The 16,702-nt window shown below is 49.7% G+C and overlaps 1 protein-coding gene across 11 annotated transcripts in view, besides 4 other annotated features; it reads right to left on the bottom strand.

Moving 5' to 3' along the window:
* The window catches only part of PTPA (protein phosphatase 2 phosphatase activator), a 37,997-nt gene that overhangs the window by 13,060 nt on the left and 8,235 nt on the right, over window positions 1-16,702 (bottom strand). For 4 of the 11 annotated variants that reach the window (NM_021131.5, XM_011518834.3, NM_178000.3 and 1 more), the window contains 5 exons: window positions 15,277-15,374; window positions 12,749-12,835; window positions 6,777-6,902; window positions 4,248-4,365; window positions 993-1,092 (listed from right to left, as the gene is read on the bottom strand). In NM_021131.5, coding sequence (NP_066954.2) covers window positions 993-1,092; window positions 4,248-4,365; window positions 6,777-6,902; window positions 12,749-12,835; window positions 15,277-15,374 — 529 coding nt within the window. Of the gene's footprint in view, window positions 1-992; window positions 1,093-4,247; window positions 4,366-6,776; window positions 6,903-7,818; window positions 7,924-12,748; window positions 12,836-15,276; window positions 15,375-16,702 lie in introns of all 11 variants that reach the window. The other 7 variants (XM_047423560.1, XM_047423559.1, NM_178001.3 and 4 more) reach the window with 3 other exon arrangements.
* Window positions 2,209-2,709: an enhancer, noted in NCBI's record as "H3K4me1 hESC enhancer chr9:131895457-131895957 (GRCh37/hg19 assembly coordinates)". NCBI's record gives its function as "activates a minimal SCP1, AML or CMV promoter by ChIP-STARR-seq in naive H9 embryonic stem cells {active_cell/tissue: H9 hESC(naive)}" and the evidence as "EXISTENCE:reporter gene assay evidence [ECO:0000049][PMID:30033119]".
* Window positions 3,803-4,357: an enhancer, noted in NCBI's record as "H3K27ac-H3K4me1 hESC enhancer chr9:131893809-131894363 (GRCh37/hg19 assembly coordinates)". NCBI's record gives its function as "activates a minimal SCP1, AML or CMV promoter by ChIP-STARR-seq in naive and primed H9 embryonic stem cells {active_cell/tissue: H9 hESC(naive and primed)}" and the evidence as "EXISTENCE:reporter gene assay evidence [ECO:0000049][PMID:30033119]".
* Window positions 3,910-4,111: a silencer, noted in NCBI's record as "fragment chr9:131894055-131894256 (GRCh37/hg19 assembly coordinates)". NCBI's record gives its function as "represses an EF-1alpha promoter that drives an FKBP-Casp9 reporter gene in an ReSE screen in phorbol 12-myristate 13-acetate-treated (for megakaryocytic differentiation) K562 erythroleukemia cells {active_cell/tissue: K562(+PMA)}" and the evidence as "EXISTENCE:reporter gene assay evidence [ECO:0000049][PMID:32094911]".
* Window positions 8,119-9,041: an enhancer, noted in NCBI's record as "OCT4-NANOG-H3K27ac-H3K4me1 hESC enhancer chr9:131889125-131890047 (GRCh37/hg19 assembly coordinates)". NCBI's record gives its function as "activates a minimal SCP1, AML or CMV promoter by ChIP-STARR-seq in primed H9 embryonic stem cells {active_cell/tissue: H9 hESC(primed)}" and the evidence as "EXISTENCE:reporter gene assay evidence [ECO:0000049][PMID:30033119]".

The following is a 16,702-nucleotide window of genomic DNA, read 5'->3' as shown; positions in this document are numbered from 1 at the left end:
TCAGCCTCTCCAGCCTCAGTTGGCCTGTCTGAAAGCTAACACAAGTCCCAGCAGGTTATCTCCTAGGTTCTTCTGGTTCCAACCTTCTATATTATCAGAGGCTGCATATCAACCACCTGTGAAGCATCGAGCACTGCTCCTGGGCTCCGTCACAGGCCTGCTGCAGCAGCACTGCTAGACTGGGGCCCGCAATGGGGATTTTAAGAGCTCTGGGTAACTGATCCACATCAGTGCTGCCCAGCGACTGGCTTGGGTGGTGTGGGGCAGCAGGTCAGAGTCTGACTACCTGGGTTCAGCTGGCGTGAACCCAGTGAAGACACCGGATATCTCTGTGCCTCAGTTTCCTCATATGTAAAATGGAAATAACAGTTGCTATTTCATAGGGTTGTTGTTAGAATTAATGAGTTATACATAAAGTGCTTAGAATTCTTCCTCCATATGGTCAACACTGTGTCAATACTGGCAGACATTATGTGACAATTCTTTTTTTTTTTAAGACAGAGTCTCACTCTGTCACCCAGGCTGGAGTACAGTGGCACGATCTCAGCTCACTGCAACCTCCGCCTCCTGGGTTCAAGCAATTCTTCTGCCTCAGCCTCCTGAGTAGCTGGAATTACAGGCGAGTGCCACCACGCCCAGCTAATTCTTGTATTTTTAGTAGAGACGGGGTTTCATCATGTTGGCCAGGCTGGTGTCGAACACCTGACCTCGTGATCCGCCTGCCTGGGCCTCCCAAAGTCCTGGGATTACAGGCGTGAGCCACCGCGCCCGGCCTATGTGACAATTCTTTCACTTGCTTTTACTTGGAGGTTAATTTGAACCTGTTGGAAAAAAGGCTTGGACACTCCATCCACAGCCAGAGCTTGATTAGGACAGGACAAGAGAACCATGAGCTACTCAGGAGAACCCTAGAGCACCCCATTTCCCAGTTTGAGGAGGAAACAGATGGCCCCTCACGCCCCCTCCTCCAACCCTCCTGTCCTTTCTCTCACCGATTGAACACCTTGAAGACAATAGCTATTTGGTCATCCACCCGGAGCACCCCAATCTTGCAGAGACAGCAGAGGAAAGCAGCGAAGGCTGCCTCATGCCCTGGAGGAGAAAAACAACCAGCGTTGACAGTAGTCCAGGTAAAGGACTGGGATTGTTTTAGTCTCCCAGAATCCGAATCATTGATAAGTGCCCCTCTGAGGAGGGTGGTCAACATGGAGACAATGAGACCTCTTCCCCATTCAGAAAGACTTGCTAGGCCCTTTCCTTTCAAGAACTATAATACCAGTACTGGCCGTGCATGGTGGCTCATGCCTGTAATCCCAGCACTTCAGGAGGCTGAGGCAGGCAGCTTGCTTGAGCTCAGGAGTTTGAGATCAGCCTGGCCAACATGGCAAAACCCTGTCTCTACAAAAAATACAAAAATTAGCCAGACATGGTGGCATGTGCCTGTGGTCCCAACTACTCAGGAGGCTGAGATGGAGGATCTCCTGAGCCCAGGAGGTTGAGGCTGCAGTGAGCCATGATAAGGCCACTGCACTCCAGCCTGGGTGACAAAGTGAGACTGTCTCAAAAAAAAAAAAAAAAAAAAAAAAAAAAGAACTACCAGTACTATAATTCCACTCGTAAAAGACCCGGGCTGGACATTTACATTTCATTACGTAGGTTTAACTCACTCAGCAATTCCACCATATTTACTGAGCACCTACTATGTAAGCAGTCACTGTCCATGTTACGCACTAGGAGACAGTGACAAGTAAGTCCTTGCCCTCAGAAAGTTTATGATCTATCAGGGACAACAGACATTATAAATATACAGTCACTACTATGATTCCAGCTCTGAAGGAGAAAGACAGGGTACTAACTGGAGGATATCACAGAAGGACCCTGACGTAAGGGTTCAAGGTTTCCCCTAAGGAAGTAACATCTAATCTGAAATCTGAAAGATGTGAGCTGGCAAGGCAAAGGGAGTGAGGGAAGCAAGAAATGCATTCTAGCCAGAAGGAATAGCATGTGCACAGGCCTTGAGGCAAGAAAAAGTTTGATCTGTTTGAGGAACACTAAGGAGGCCAGTATGTCGAAGGCAGTGAGAGCAAGGGAGAACGTGTAATGACAGGAGGCTACAGGTCACATGGGCCTTTTGGCCATAGGAAAGAGCTCAGACTTTACCCTAAGAGCAATAGGGAGCCACTGCAGGCTTCTAAGCAGGGAACACATGATCAGATTACAGGGTGAAAAAGTATCCTCCTTCCTTTCCCAGTCATATCAAACAGGAATGGTCTGCACTGTAGGAACAACTCACTGGACTGTGATTGAATCCCATTGTTCACAATGTCACACAAAACCTATCTGGAGGGAGGTGAGAAGAGAATGTGTCAGAGAATACTTCTGTCCTGTCTCTGGAGGACGAAGACCCCTCCAGGGCCTGGAAGCTTGTGAGCTCAGTTTCCTTCCCCTGCCACAGTTTCCAATTATGACCAGACAGGGCCCAGGCTCCCATTGTTCAGGGGTTCACATGCAGCTGGGGCACCAACCCCTGCTGACCTGGCCAGTCTTCCCTCTTTGATCTTTTCCTGCTGGTCTTAGTCAAAGCCCCACCCGGTCCAAGAGGGCCCTTCTCCAGGGCCTGCCTCTGTGGCTGGGGCTCCCTCCTGTGGATCACATTCCCCAGACAAGGGGAGGGCTGAGCGGTGCCCCATCTGCCTGCCTCAGGGAAGGAAGGCGGGCCCTCACCAAAGCAGAGGTCCTCCTTAGCTGCACAGGCCAGGCCCTGACCTAGAGAACGCCTCCCTTCTCTATTTTTGAGAGATGGGGTCTCAGCATGGTGGCTCGACAGGCCGTGCCCTGACACAGAGAATGCCTCCCTTCTATATTTTTGAGAGATGGGGTCTCAGCATGGTGGCTCCACAGGCCATGCCCTGACCTAGAGAACACCTCCCTTTTATATTTTTGAGAGATGGGGTCTCAGCATGGTGGCTTGCACCTGTAATCTGAGCACTTTGGGAGGCTGAGGTGGGAGAACAGCTTGAGCTCAGGAGTTCAAGACCAGCCCAGGCAACATGGCAAAACCCCATCTCTACAAAAAATACAAAACAATCAGCTGGGCGCAGTGGCTCACGCCTGTAATCCCAGTCCCAGCACTTTGGGAGGCCAAGGTGGGTGGAGAAGTGACCTCACCAGAGGTCAGGAGTTCGAGACCAGCCTGGCCAACATGGTGAAACCCTGTCTCTACCAAAAACACTAAAATTAGCCAGGTATGGTGGTGTGTGCCTATAGTCCCAGCAGAATAATCGCTTGAACCCAGGAGGTGGAGGTTGCAGTGAGCCAAGATCATGCCACTGCACTCCAGCCTGGGCAACAGAGTGAGACTCTGTCTCAAATAAATAAATAAATTGCCAGGCTGGTGGTGCACACCTGTAGTCCCAGGTACTGGGGAGTGGGGAGATGCAGAGGTGAGAGGATCACTTGGGCCCGGGAGGTCAAGGCTGCAGTGGGCCAAGATCACATCACTGCACTGCAGCCCGGGTGACAAAGCAAGACCCTGTCTCAAAAAAATAAATATATAAATAAAAATAACTTAAAATAAATTTTTAAAAAAGAGATGGAGTCTTGCTACGTTGCCTAGGCTGGTCTTAAACTCCTGAGCTCAGGCAATCCTCCCCCTCAGCCTCCAAAAGTGCTAGGATTACAGGCACGCACCACTGCACCTGTCTACACTTCCCTTTTAAAGTGTCCACACACTCCCTCTCCTCAAAGTCCAGGTCCCTTGGCTTACATGGACCACAGATCCAAACAGCCCAATAGCACAGAGAATGTGGCTAAGAGACAAGGGGTTCAAGGGAGAGGGTGTGCCACGACACTGCAAAGGCCACCAAGAAGCGTTCCCATTTCTCAAAGCTTCAGTAAGCTGCTGCCTTGACACACAGTAAGTGCTCAATTAATAATTATTTTGGTGATGATGAGGAGCTCAGAGACCATTTTCACAAGAACAGAAAGCAGCGCTGCGCAAGCACCATGCACGGGGCATCAGCTCCCCCTGGTGGACCACAGCAGAGCTGCAGCATCCGGGCCTCCCTGCATGCCTACGCCCTCCCTGCCGGTGAAGCCACCCTAACCCCAGCTGGCCCCAATAGGTTGCAGGTGCTTGGCGAATTCTTGATTGCTCTCACTTGCTCAGAGGGCCCAGAGACCACCTGAAGCCCAAAACAGAAAGCAGTGAAGCTAGATAAGTACAGAGCCCCACAAGCAGCAGATACCTGTGCCGTAGTCAATGCGCGTGGAGTTCCCCACTGACTCCTTTAGGTAAACAGCCACCTCAGGCACAGCAGCTGCCAGATGGGTAGGGACCACTGTGGCCACCAAGTTTTCTGCTTCCTGGTAACACAAGAGACACAAAGTGGTGGCAGCATATTAAGCAGCATCCCAGTGGGCAGGTGCCCAGGGGCAGCACCTGACTGGGGGCCCACACTGCCTTGCCAGGCCAGCTTGGTTCCTGTTCTGACAGGCCACAGAAGGAAGGGGAGGGACAGCATTTATTCTTCCACAGCAGAAGACTACCCAGGCGACTTATCATCAACTGATTTTTCCAGGGCACAGGAGTCTAGGGGCAAAACAGGAGGAATCTGGAAAAAAGCCTCAACCCTCCCATGTGGTAACTCACTGGAGCCCCACAGAGACTCTGGAAGGTCAGTGCTATGATTCCCACACAGGCCACCTTCCTTCACACTCTCAGGTCAGCAAGAGCTGGTGTCATGTGCCATCAAAAGACGTGCAGAAGAATGTTCACAACAGCACTGTTTAGAGTAGCCAAAAGGTGGAAATGCAATGGAAATGTCCATCAACAGTGAAATGAATAAATTGTGGTATATTCATACAATAGAATACTACACAGCAAAGAAAAAGACCTATAGCTAGACATGAAAACATGGATGAATCTCAGACATGACATTGAGCAAAAGAAGCCAGAGAGTTATACGAAGTTCAGAAACATGGAAAAAAATCAATTTATGGAATAGAAATCAGAATAATCTGGGCGATATCAATTGGGAAGGGGAGCACTCCAGCTAGAATGTTCTATTGCTTGACATGAGTGGTGAATCCATGGGTAAAAAACTTGGCATGAGTGGTGAGTCCATGAGTAAAAACATGTAAAAATCCATCAAGCTGTAAAGCTATGATTTGTCAGCTTTAAGATATAACTTAAGGCTGGGAGCAGTGGCTCACACCTGTAATTCCAACACTTTAGGAGGCCAAGGTGGGCGGATCACCTGAGGCCAGGATTTCGAGATCAGCCTGGCCAACATGATGAAACCCCGTCTCTACTAAAAACACAAAAATTAGCCAAGCATGGTGGCGCATGCTGTAGTCCCAGCAACTTGGGAGGCTGAGGCAGGACGATTGCTTGAGCCCAGGAGGTCAAGGCTGCAGGGAGCTGAGATCATGCCACTGCACTCCAGCCTGAACAACAGGAAAAAAAAAAAAAAAAGATCATGTACCATCTTAAGAGTCCAGAGGCAGGCCCGGGCGTCTCTTGGGAACAGCACTTCACTGGGTCCTGAGTCCTCCCCTCTGCTCTATGTGAAAATATTGGGCCAGAGCAATTAGGACCCAAATTTCCTTAAGCTCAGTTGTAGACAACTGGCATGAGCCATCTCCTGGAAAGCTAGTAAAAATCCAGGTTCCCAGTCCCTACCCAGACCTGTAGACTCTGCTTTTCTAGACAGGGTCTGAGATCCTGCATTTTTATTTTTGTTTGCTTTGAATAGGTAACACCTTCGTAAGATTCAAAAATAAAAACATCAGTAGAGGATCAGTTCAATAGACTAGTCCATCCACACCATGGAGTATGCAGCTAGCATTCCAAGTGGGTGTGCAATGGCTCCATCATAGCTCACTGCAGCCTCAAACTCCAGAGCTCAAGTCATTCTCCTGCTTCAGCCACCCAAGCAGCTGGGACCAAAGGTGTGCACCACCATTTCTTATTTTTTGCAGTAACGGGGTCTTGCTATGTTGCCCAACCTACTCACAAACTCCTGGGCTCAAGTGATCCTCCCGCCTTAACCTCCCCGAATTCTGAGATTACATGTATGAGCCACCGTGCCCAGCTATGAAAAAAATTCCTTTTTGGGGCCGAGCGTGGTGGCTCACACCTGTAATCCCAGCACTTTGGGAGGCCGAGATGGGCGGATCACAAGGTCAGGAGATCAAGACCATCCTGGCTAACACGGTGAAACCCCGTCTCTACGAAAAATACAAAAAATTAGCCGGGCGTGGTGGTGGGTGCCTGTAGTCCCAGCTACTCGGAAGGCTGAGGCAGGAGAATGGCGTGAACCCAGGAGGTGGAGCTTGCAGTGAGCCAAGACTGCGCCACTGCACTCCAGCCTGGGCAACACAGCGAGACTCCGTCTAAAAAAAAAAAAAGATAAAATAAAAAATAAAAAAAATTCCTTTTTATAGCTGCACAGTACTCCATGATATTGATGGACTAATTTATTTAAATAATCCCCTACAGATGGATACTTGGAACATTTCCAGTTTGCTGTAATACAGTGACTTAATAAACAGCCTTGTAGTGCAGAGGGCCGTATGTGCACAGTCGTGTTTCCCAGAAGATGACCAAGCAGAGTATAAACTCATTTGTAATTTTGCTAAGTGAAATTGACATTTTAACAAACTGAGATTTGTATATGCCTAGAAGCGCTATACAATGCAGGCCCTTCCCCAACTGGTGCCAGAACCACCCTCACTGCCAGCCCAGTCCCTGGCCTGTCCTGTGGCAGCCTCACCTCATCAAGTTTGGCATACCAGGTCCTGTATGCCTTATTCCCAAACCGAGAGGGCTGGTCCACTGGAGGAGTCTCATCAATCCACCTGTCCAGCGTGTTGAGAAGAGCGACTAGTTTCTCAATGGCCTGTGGAGGCAAAATAGAGGGGTCCAAGCTACAGAGCAAGTGGCTCCCGCTTAGCCACAGAGGGAAGTCCACTGCTGCCAGACAATGACCCCTTGGCATGGCCCCTACTGGGAACTCTCCCCCATCCCTCTTTCTTCCCCACTGTTCTGAATATGAAGGAGGGTCAGGAGAGCATGATAGGCTTTCCAGAGAGGGAAGCACACTAGGCTGATGGGACAGGGACGGGGTGGCTTTAGCACCTGGTTTCTGTAGGCAGCCTACCCATGGGCTGCTGCTATAGAGAAGCTAACTCCAGCCCTGACATCTTTTTAAAAAGACTTTATGGAAGCCTTTTGTTCAGTATGCAATACCTACTCATCATAAAAAATAGAAATATAAACAGAAGAAAATGAAAATGACCAGTAATCCTGCCACCCAGAAATACACTAAACTTTTTTTTTTTTTTTTTGAGACAGAGTTTCGCTCTTGTTGCCCAGGCTGGAGTGCAGTGGTGCAATCTCGGCTCACTGCAACCTTTGCCTCCCAGGTTCAAGCGATTCTCCTGCCTCAGCCTCCCAAGTAGCTGGGACTAAAGGCGCACACCACCACGCCCAGCTAATTTTTGTACTTCTAGTAGAGATGGGGTTTCTCCATGTTAGTCAGGCTGGTCTCAAACTCCCGACCTCAAGTGATGCACCTGCATCGGCCTCCCAAAGTTCTGGGATTACAAGCGTGAGCCACCGTGCCTGGCCTACACTAAACATTTTAACATACCCTTCTGTGTTATCTTCTCATAGTGTTTTACATGGTTTAGCATGGTGGGCCTGGATTCAAACCCCAGCTAAAACACCATTTAGCTGCTGTGAGACCTTGAGCAAGTGACTAACTCTGAGCCTCTCAGTTTCTTCGTCTAAAAAATGGGGCTGATGATAAATACCTCCGAAGGTGCACAGTGCCCGGCGCGGGGTAATGGTATGCATTCATCGCAGGACACACTCTGCTTTGCAGCCTGCTCCTTTTCCTCATGAACCTCATTCCACATCTACATATAAACATAATCTTATGACAACTTTTACTAAGTGAATAACATTTCATCGTGCCACTGCATTATAATTAATTTAATTCCTCACTGTTAAATGTTTGGGTTATTTCCACCTGTTTCACTACCTATTTCATACACAATGCTATGGTAAATCAGCTTGCAACTCAATCTTTGTGGAAATGCCAGATCATCGTGTGCAATGCTTTGTAGGGTGGCAGAGTTTGAGAGCCCATCCCCCTACACCTTTCCCACAGAAGACAGGGACCAAGAAGTAGAATCGGAGTCAGAGGTGCGGGCAGCATTGGCACATAAAATGTTACTCAATGAAGAAATCGGGTGGCTGTCTATCCAACCCAAAGATCAGTTAGAAGGTGCTCCTTCCAGGTTGGCTTTTAGAAATAGCCCAGCACCAGGGCCGGTGGAAAATACAACGCGGAGGCTATCTGCAGCCATTCAGTCCTGAGAAAAGAGTCCCTGCCAGGAAGTGGATCTTGCCTGTGTCTATGGAAACAAACGGCATAAGAAACTTACAGGAAATCCTGGCACTGGGTAAGAACTAGCAGGGTGATGCCCACATGAGAAGTTGCGCCTGGGAGGGCAAGGCAGACCAGGCCTGCCATGTGCAAAGACTCAGCCAAGAGCTATGTATGTACCTGGGGAGAGGCAGGCTTAAGCTAATGAAACAGGCTGGCCATGCCCCCAGCTGCATATGTGAAACCGGCCCTGAGTGCTGCTCTCTCTTATCTCCCCTTTATCTAGGCTTGGGGCATGGGAGGACAGAAAAAGTAGCCTGTAAGAGGATAAATTTCCCTTTACACCTGGCTAAGGCAGAGGGCTAGGATGGCATAAAGCTGCCTTGCTGAAATGTGAGAGCGCTGCCAGAGCCTGGCTTTGTGAAAAACCAGGAATGGCTGATAAGCACAGGCCAGACCTAACCCATGCAGAAACGGGGGCTTACAATGGATGGCACAGTCATCTTGGCCCCAGGAAGCACTAGTCAGCCCCAGATTCCCCAGGGATCTCAGTCTTAGGCGAGGCACTGAAGGGGACAGAGAAGACGGAGTCACAGGAGCCAGGCCCCAGCTGCTAGCTCAGCTGGGCCAATGAATAATTCAAAGGCTCCCAGCTCCTCTTCAGGAGAGGGCTTTTTGAATGTTGTAGGGGCTGCCTCTATTGTTTGCTGTGTTGGGAGAGAAGGGCTGAAAGAAAGGGAACTGGGGCTGAAACACCTTCGAGGCACAAAGAACAACTCCAGCTCTCCCATTCTCCCTAGGCCAGTGTTTCCTTTTTGGATTTCAAGGACCAGTAAAATCTTCCCTAACATTTTACTGACCATTTTTGAATTTTGCCCCCTTGTAAGTTTTAAAAAAGCAAACAGAACAACAACAACAAAAATAAATCTCTTATCACATTTATTTTGCAAAAATCGAAAATGTTAACCCCCATAAGAGGAGGACAGGCATCATTTAAAATAAGAGCTAGCTGGCCAGGCACAGTGGCTCACGTCTGTAATCCCAGCACTTACGGAGGCCAAGACGGGCAGATCACCTGAGTTCGGGAGTTCGAGACCAGCCTGACCAACATGGAAAAACCCCATCTCTACTAAAAATACAAAATCAGATGGACATGGTGGCACATGCTAGTCGGGAGGCTGAGGCAGGAGAATCGTTTGAACCCGGGAGGCGGAGGTTGTGGTGAGCCGAGATCGTACCATTGAACTCCAGCCTGGGGAACAAGACTCCATCTCAAAAATAAAAATAAAAATAAAAATAAATAAATAATAAAAAAATAAGAGCTAGTTTTTTTTTTCTTTTTGAGACGAAGTCTCGCACTGTCGCCTGGGCTGGAGTGCAGTGGCACCATCTTGGCTCACTGCAACCTCCGCCTCCCGGGTTTCAAAGGATTCTCCTGACTCCACCTCCGAAGTAGCTGGGACTACAGGTGCCTGCCGCCACGCCCAGCTAACTTTTTGTATCTTTAGTAGAGACGGGGTTCCACCATGTTGGCCAGGCTGGTCTTGAACTCCTGACCTCATGATTCACCCGCCTTGGCCTCCCAAGGTGCTAGGATTACAGTCATGAGCCACCGCGCCCAGCCAAAAGCTAGCTTTCTATGCAACAACACTATTGAAAATTAGAACTGACTAATGCCTAATGGTAACAATAGCTAATAACAATCGAAGTATTTATTTAGTATGTGTTAGGCGCTATGCAAAAGACAACCACTACTCGTGGGATCTCAGTGAATTTTCCCCAGGGGGCCATGACTAGTCTGCTGACTCTTACCACTCTACAGATGAGGAAACAGAGGGTCAAAAATGATTCACAAGTTATGAAACTAGCCAGCTGGACTCCAGAACCCAAGCATGTAACCACACTGCAATCCTGCCAAAGTACAGCCCTTGAGCTAAGACAATACCTGGGCCGGGCGCAGCAGCTCACGCCTGCAATCCCAGCACTTTGGGAGGACAAAGCACCTGAGGTCAGGAGTTTGAGACCAGCCTGCCCAACATGGTGAAACCCCGTCTCTACTAAAAATACAAAAATTAGCCGGGTGTGGTGGTGGGCGCCTGTAATCCCAGCTACTCGGGAGGCTGAGGCAGGAGAATCGCTTGAGCCTGGGAGGTGGAGGCTGCAGTGAGCCAAGATCATGCCATTGCACTCCAGCCTGGGTAACAAGAAAAACTCAAAAAAAAAAAAGACAATACCTGCTTGGTGTGGATGGCTACCATCAAAGCCACGGGCAATTAGGGGACTTGGCAGCTAAGGATTTGCTGGGGTAATTACAACCTTCCCCTTTAATTAGCCTTCCTCCACGACATTCCTGGCCCACTGAGCACAGCTGAGCATCCCTCACCACAGGCTCCAGGAGGAACCCCCTCTTTCCCCAGCCATCCTGCACCCAGAGCCTCAGTCCCAAAGGACTGAGTGAGCCCAAAAGGAACCCAAAAAGCCACTAATGGGCCTGGCTCCCAAGGGAAGGCTGTCTACCAGAAGCACAGGCCTGGTTCTCCTGAAGTGGACAGAACAGGACCTAGGTCACCTAATAGCCAGACAGGCCCAGCAATAGGCAGCTCTGCCAGGGGCCGGGTATGAGGGTGAGGCACACAGTGTTAATCTTGGGGCAGGTGGAAAAACTGGGCCAGGGCAGGGCTACATCTTACCCAACAGGTCCAAGGCTGTGGCTAGAGAGCTGGGTAGGCCAAAGTAAAGGGAGGCCCTTCAGGCCCTGGTGTCTGAGATAAGAGACTCAAGGTGGGACATGAACCCAAGAGGCTCCTGGAGGCCTAGGTCCTAGCCCTGGGAGACAGCATCCAGCAAAAGCAAACAGCCAGTAAGGCCACACCTGCCAATCAGTATCTGCCTCCCCTCAGCTCTTGCCCTCTCTACACAAACAAAACTATCTCTGAAACAACGTCCAAAAAGCACCCACCAGGCAGTGTGAACCCAAACGCAAAAAAAAAATGCATGTGCCCTTTGACTCCACATTTCCACGTCTAAGAATGAATCCTTCGGAAACAAGGCCCACAGATCTATGTGCGGGGATGCAATGATATGCGAGGAGCAATGTTTACCAAGACAACCTAAAAGTCTGAAGATGGGCTGTTTAAATAAATGAGGGGCCAAGCTTGGTGGCTCACATCTGTCACCCCAGCACTTCGAGAGACCAAGGCAGGAGGACTGCTTGAGCCCAGGAGTTCAAGACCAACCTGGGCAACATAGTGAGACCCTGTCTCTATATTTAAAAAAAAAATAAAATAAGATAAATAAATGAGGGCACAGCTCACTGCAGGAGAAGAGAAGCTCTTGCTTTCCTGGGTGACCACTGTCAGGAGGGGCTGCCCTGGAAGCTGGGTATGAGAAACACAGGGAGAGATCAGCTCTGCTGTGAATGTCATACACATGTCTATTACTGATCTCTCCAGTGAGCACATTTACTGTTTTGTAATCTGTTTTAATTTCAAGTTATATAAAAACACCAGGCCAGGCGCAGTGGCTCATGCCTGTAATCCCAGCACTTTGGGAGGCCGAGGCAGGCAGATCACCTCAAGTCAGGAGTTTGAGACCAGCCTGACCAACATGGAGAAACCCCGTCTCTACTAAAAATAAAAAATTATCCAGGTGTGGTGGCACACGCCTGTAATCCCAGCTACTCAGGAGGCTGAGGCAGGAGAATCGCTTGAACCCAGGAGGCAGAGGTTTTGGTGAGCCAAGATCGCGCCACTGCACTCCAGCCTGGGCAACAAGAGCAAAACTACGTCTCAAAATAAAAAAAAAAGAAAGAAAAAACCAATTAGCAAAAATACTAACTACAAAACAGCATATTTACCTTGATCTCAATTTTATAAATATCCATCTATTCACAGATTTCAAAAATTAGAAATATAGATATGAAAATGTGAAGTGCACATGTATTTGGGCGATCTTATTTTCTGCTCTGGCCCCGTGGTGGGCACTGAGCCCACAAGACTCTGGAGCTATTTTTTTTTTTTGAGACAGAGTCTCGCTCTGTCGCCCAGGCTGGAGTGCAGTGGCGCGATCTCAGCTCACTGCAAGCTCTGCCTCCTGGGTTCACACCATTCTCCTGCCTCAGCCTCCTGAGTAGCTGGGACTACAGGCGCCCGTCACCACACCCGGCTAATTTTTTGTATTTTTACTAGAGATGGGGTTTCACATGTTGGCCAGGATGGTCTCGATCTCCTGACCTCGTGAGCCGCCTGCCTCGGCCTCCCAAGGTGCTGAGATTACAGAGGTGAGCCACCGCACCCAGTGACTCTGGAGCTATTTTTGGAAAGGCTGCTGCAGCAGCTCCTCCTTGGGCCTACCTCGGAGACTCTGTACTCGAAGGTCAGCTTCTTCCCCTTCACACCTTCGTTGAGGGTAAGGATGAATCCGATGTAGTCAGCGTATGCCTACCAAACAGAGAGGAGAATGGGGATGGGGAGAGGGGTGGCAGACCCCCCCGCCCCACCTGCCCCGAGCTCCACCAGGTTACCAAAGAGCTCCGAGCTTTCTACTTCTCCTGACCCTGACTCCCAACCCAATAGCAGGAGAAGCAGAAACGTAATGCCAAATACCGACCCCTACCCTCCAGAAAAGCTGGCAAGACAGTGACCACAGCAACACGCTGATCTCCAGCCAGAGTGAACCAAGTACTCACTATTGCTGCCAGCAGTTTTTTTACACAATAGCCCTATAAGGTAGACACTGCTGGCGCCATCTTACAGATGAGGAAACCAAGATTTCAAGAGAAGTGATCCGCCCAAGGTCTCCCAAGACCAAGATATCATTAGACATGGAGCTAGGACCCAGTAGCCTAACTTCAAAGCTGAGTGGGCACATGCTTGTCCATGATGCTCTACCACCAGGAATTCAAGGAGTACCACCAAGTGTCTCACCCCCAGCAATCAGCGACCAAAGGCGGGCCAGGCTGTCTAGTTGGAGTGCAGATGCCTGCCACAGACAGGTCTCCCCACACAACCATTCCCAGCTTTCAACTAGACACTCTTCTTCCCTGCTGGGCTGCAGTTACACCCAACACAGGGATAAGAAAGCACTGAGGGTCAGGTATTGTGGCTCAAGTCTGTAATCCTAGCACTTTGGGAGGCTGATGCAGGAGGATCACTTGAACCCAGGAGCTTGAGACCAGCCTGGGCAACATAGTGAGACCCCATCTCTACAAAAAATTAAAAAGTTTGCCAGGTGTGGTGGTACGTGCCTGTGGTCCCAGCTACTCAGGTGGCTGAGGTGGGAGGACTGCTTGAGCCCAAGAGGTGGAGGCTGCAGAGAGCCATGATCATATCACTGAACTCCAGCCTGGGGGCCAGGGTGAGACCCTGTCTCAAAAAAAAAAATAGCATTGAGGTGCAGGCCCCTAGAGAGGCAGTTGCTGGGAACAAGTGACTCCTGATTGGTTTTGTTTCTTCTTCATCCCTTTTTCCTCTCTCTTTCTTCCTTTCTCCTTATCCAAGCCGGGGTGTCCACAGTAAGCCCTGAGACAAGCCCTGATATCTAGAAGGAAGTATTCCTATACCAAGATCCTCCTGCCAGCCATGGGATGACCCCCAGCAGGCCAGGCCTCTCCAAAGCAACTCTCTCAGACCAGGGCAAGTCTGAGCCCCTGTCCTGACTGCAGCTACACTGGAACACATGGATGAGAAGCAGCAAAGGAAGTGTCACATTTGGATTCAGACAAAGAAGCAGGTTCTCAACTAGAGCAATCTGGCTCAGAGAAGATCTGACAAGATCTGGAGACAATGTTAGTTGTGACAGCTGGGGAAAGGCATGCTGCCAACATCTAGTGGGTAGAAGCCAGAGATATTAGTAAACGTCCTACATGGCACAGGACGGCCTCCTACAATGAAGAATTATCTGCCCCTCAATGTCCATAGTGCTGACATTGAGATGCCCCGAGGTAAAGCAACCAAGATGATGAAAGGACTGAAACCATATCCTTTGAGCAGCTGAAGGGACCAAGCTGCCCCCTAGGCTGAAGGGACTGTTGATCCTGGTGAAGATTCAGAAAAGACATGATAACTATTTCCAAATACTGAGAGGGCAGGCTTGTGAAAAAGGAATCAGACAGGTTTAGATGGCCCCAAGCCCCAGTGAGGACAAGGCATAGAAGCTGTAGGGTGTGGGTCTCCTGGAGAATCTGCCCAGCATGCAAGGACCCCTGTGCCCAGCCTTCTGCATGAGCAACACTCTCCAGCCCAGCTCACCAGGCCGGGAGCAGGAGCCTGACGAGAACTGGGCCAGAGGCCTTCCCTGAGAAATTGAAATTGGCTTTCTTTTGCTCAGTCTGTCTTTCCACAGCCTGTACCACAAGCCTGAGAGGTACAAGTAGTTATCTTCTGCCCATCATTTCAGCTGAGCAGCAGAGAAAGCCAGTCTGTGCCCAGTGCTCTGGGTCCCAGCTCCCAGGTATTTGCAGGCTTAGCCATATCCCTGGCCAAAGTTTCCATGAGATAGCCTCTTCTCCCCTTGAGGCACTGGCTGCCACACTTGCTGTTACTTGCAGCCAAGAATCAAAGTGACTCGCTCCATCATTTCAAACACTCATGTTCAGCCAATACAGCAACACTCAAGGGGCAATGGCTTAAGAGAACCAGGAGCGGAACTCTCCCGGGCTACCCTGGCAGCAGCCTGAAAAAGTAGGCAACCTTCCTGATAAAGCATCTCTGAGTACTGCCTCTGAAGGGAAGAGACAGCCAGCTCCCCTGTCACCTTTCTCCCTAGCTTCTGAAAAGTCAGGCTCCAAGAGCAAGAAGGGCCAGGAACTCACCGCCCGTCATGCTAGGAAAACCACTGTCTTTGAAAAGCCCAAGTTTCTCACCACAGTTCCAAATGGTACCTGAGAACGCTTCCATTTGCCCATGTCTGGAACTGTGTGGATCTCCTTTTTTGGAATGATGAAGTTCTGAGTGGCTGGAGGGGCCTCCTCTGAAGAATCTTGACAAAAAAAAATGAAAAAACAAACAGATAAATAGAATCCTCCCCTACAACACACACACTCCCTTTCACCTTTTTTTTTTTTCTTGAGACGGAGTTTTGCTCTTGTTGCCCAGGCTGGAGTCCAGTGACACGATCTTGGCTCAATGCAACCTCCACCTCCAGGGTTCAAGCGATTCTCCTGCCTCAGTCTCCTGAGTAGCTGAGATTACAGGCACGTGCCACCACACCCAGCTAATTTTTTTTTTTTTCTTTGAGACAGAGTCTCGCTCTGTCGCCCAGGCTGGAGTGCAGTGGCGCGATCTCAGCTCACTGCAACCTCTGCCTCCCGGGTTCAAGCGATTCTCCTGCCTCAGTGTTCTGAGTAGCTGGGATTACAGACGTATGTCACCATGCCTAGCTAATTTTTGCATTTTTAGTAGAGACGGGGTTTCACCATGTTGGCCAGGCTGATCGCAAACTCCTGACCTCAGGTGATCCACCCGCCTTGGCCTCCAAAGTGTTGGGATTACAGGTATGAGCCAAAGCGCCCGGCCTCTCTCTCACTTTTAAACCAGGACTCCAACACCTGAGCCTTAGAATAAACCAGACACATACTTCCAGGACAGAGTAAGGGCTTGTTAAGCCAAACCCACAGCCTCCTGCCCTCCCTCACTCTGGGGAGGAAAGAGAAGGGCAATACTGACAATCCCTTCAATAACCATGCCCTCCCTTCCCTCTCCCCCCCAGAGCAGAACCGTTAGAAAAATAAAACCAAGTTGATGTTTCAGACATACACAGGCAATTCACAGAAGAAAAAAAAACAGGTCAGGTGCGGTGGCTCACGCCTGTAATCCCAGCACTTTGGGAGGCCAAGGCAGGCAGATCACAAGGTAAGGAGATCGAGACCATCCTGGCTAACATGGTGAAATCCCATCTCTACTAAAAAAGTACAAAAAAATTAGCCAGGCGTGGTGGCGGGCGCCTGCGGTCCCAGCTACTTGGGAGGCTGAGGCAGAAGAATGGCGTGAACCTGGGAGGCGGAGCTTGTGGTGAGCCGAGATTGCACCACTGCACTCCAACCCAGGCAACAGAGCGAGACTTCGTCTCAAAAAAAAAAAAAAAACCTAATTGCAGTAAACATTTGGAATAAATTGCCAACCTCCTGAATAAGCACGGACACGTAAATTATATGTGATTTCTCTTTCTGGATAAGGTTGGCAAATTAAAAACATCTGGCTAGGTGTGGTGGCTCATACCTAATCCCAGCAATTTGGGAGGCCAAGGCAGGCAGATCACTTGAGGCCAGGGGTTCAAGACCAGGCTGGCCAACTTGGCAAAACGCCATC

This window comes from Homo sapiens, chromosome 9 (assembly GCF_000001405.40).
Source record: "Homo sapiens chromosome 9, GRCh38.p14 Primary Assembly".
NCBI lineage: Eukaryota > Metazoa > Chordata > Mammalia > Primates > Hominidae > Homo > Homo sapiens.
This window is presented reverse-complemented; position numbering and strand designations above follow the sequence as displayed.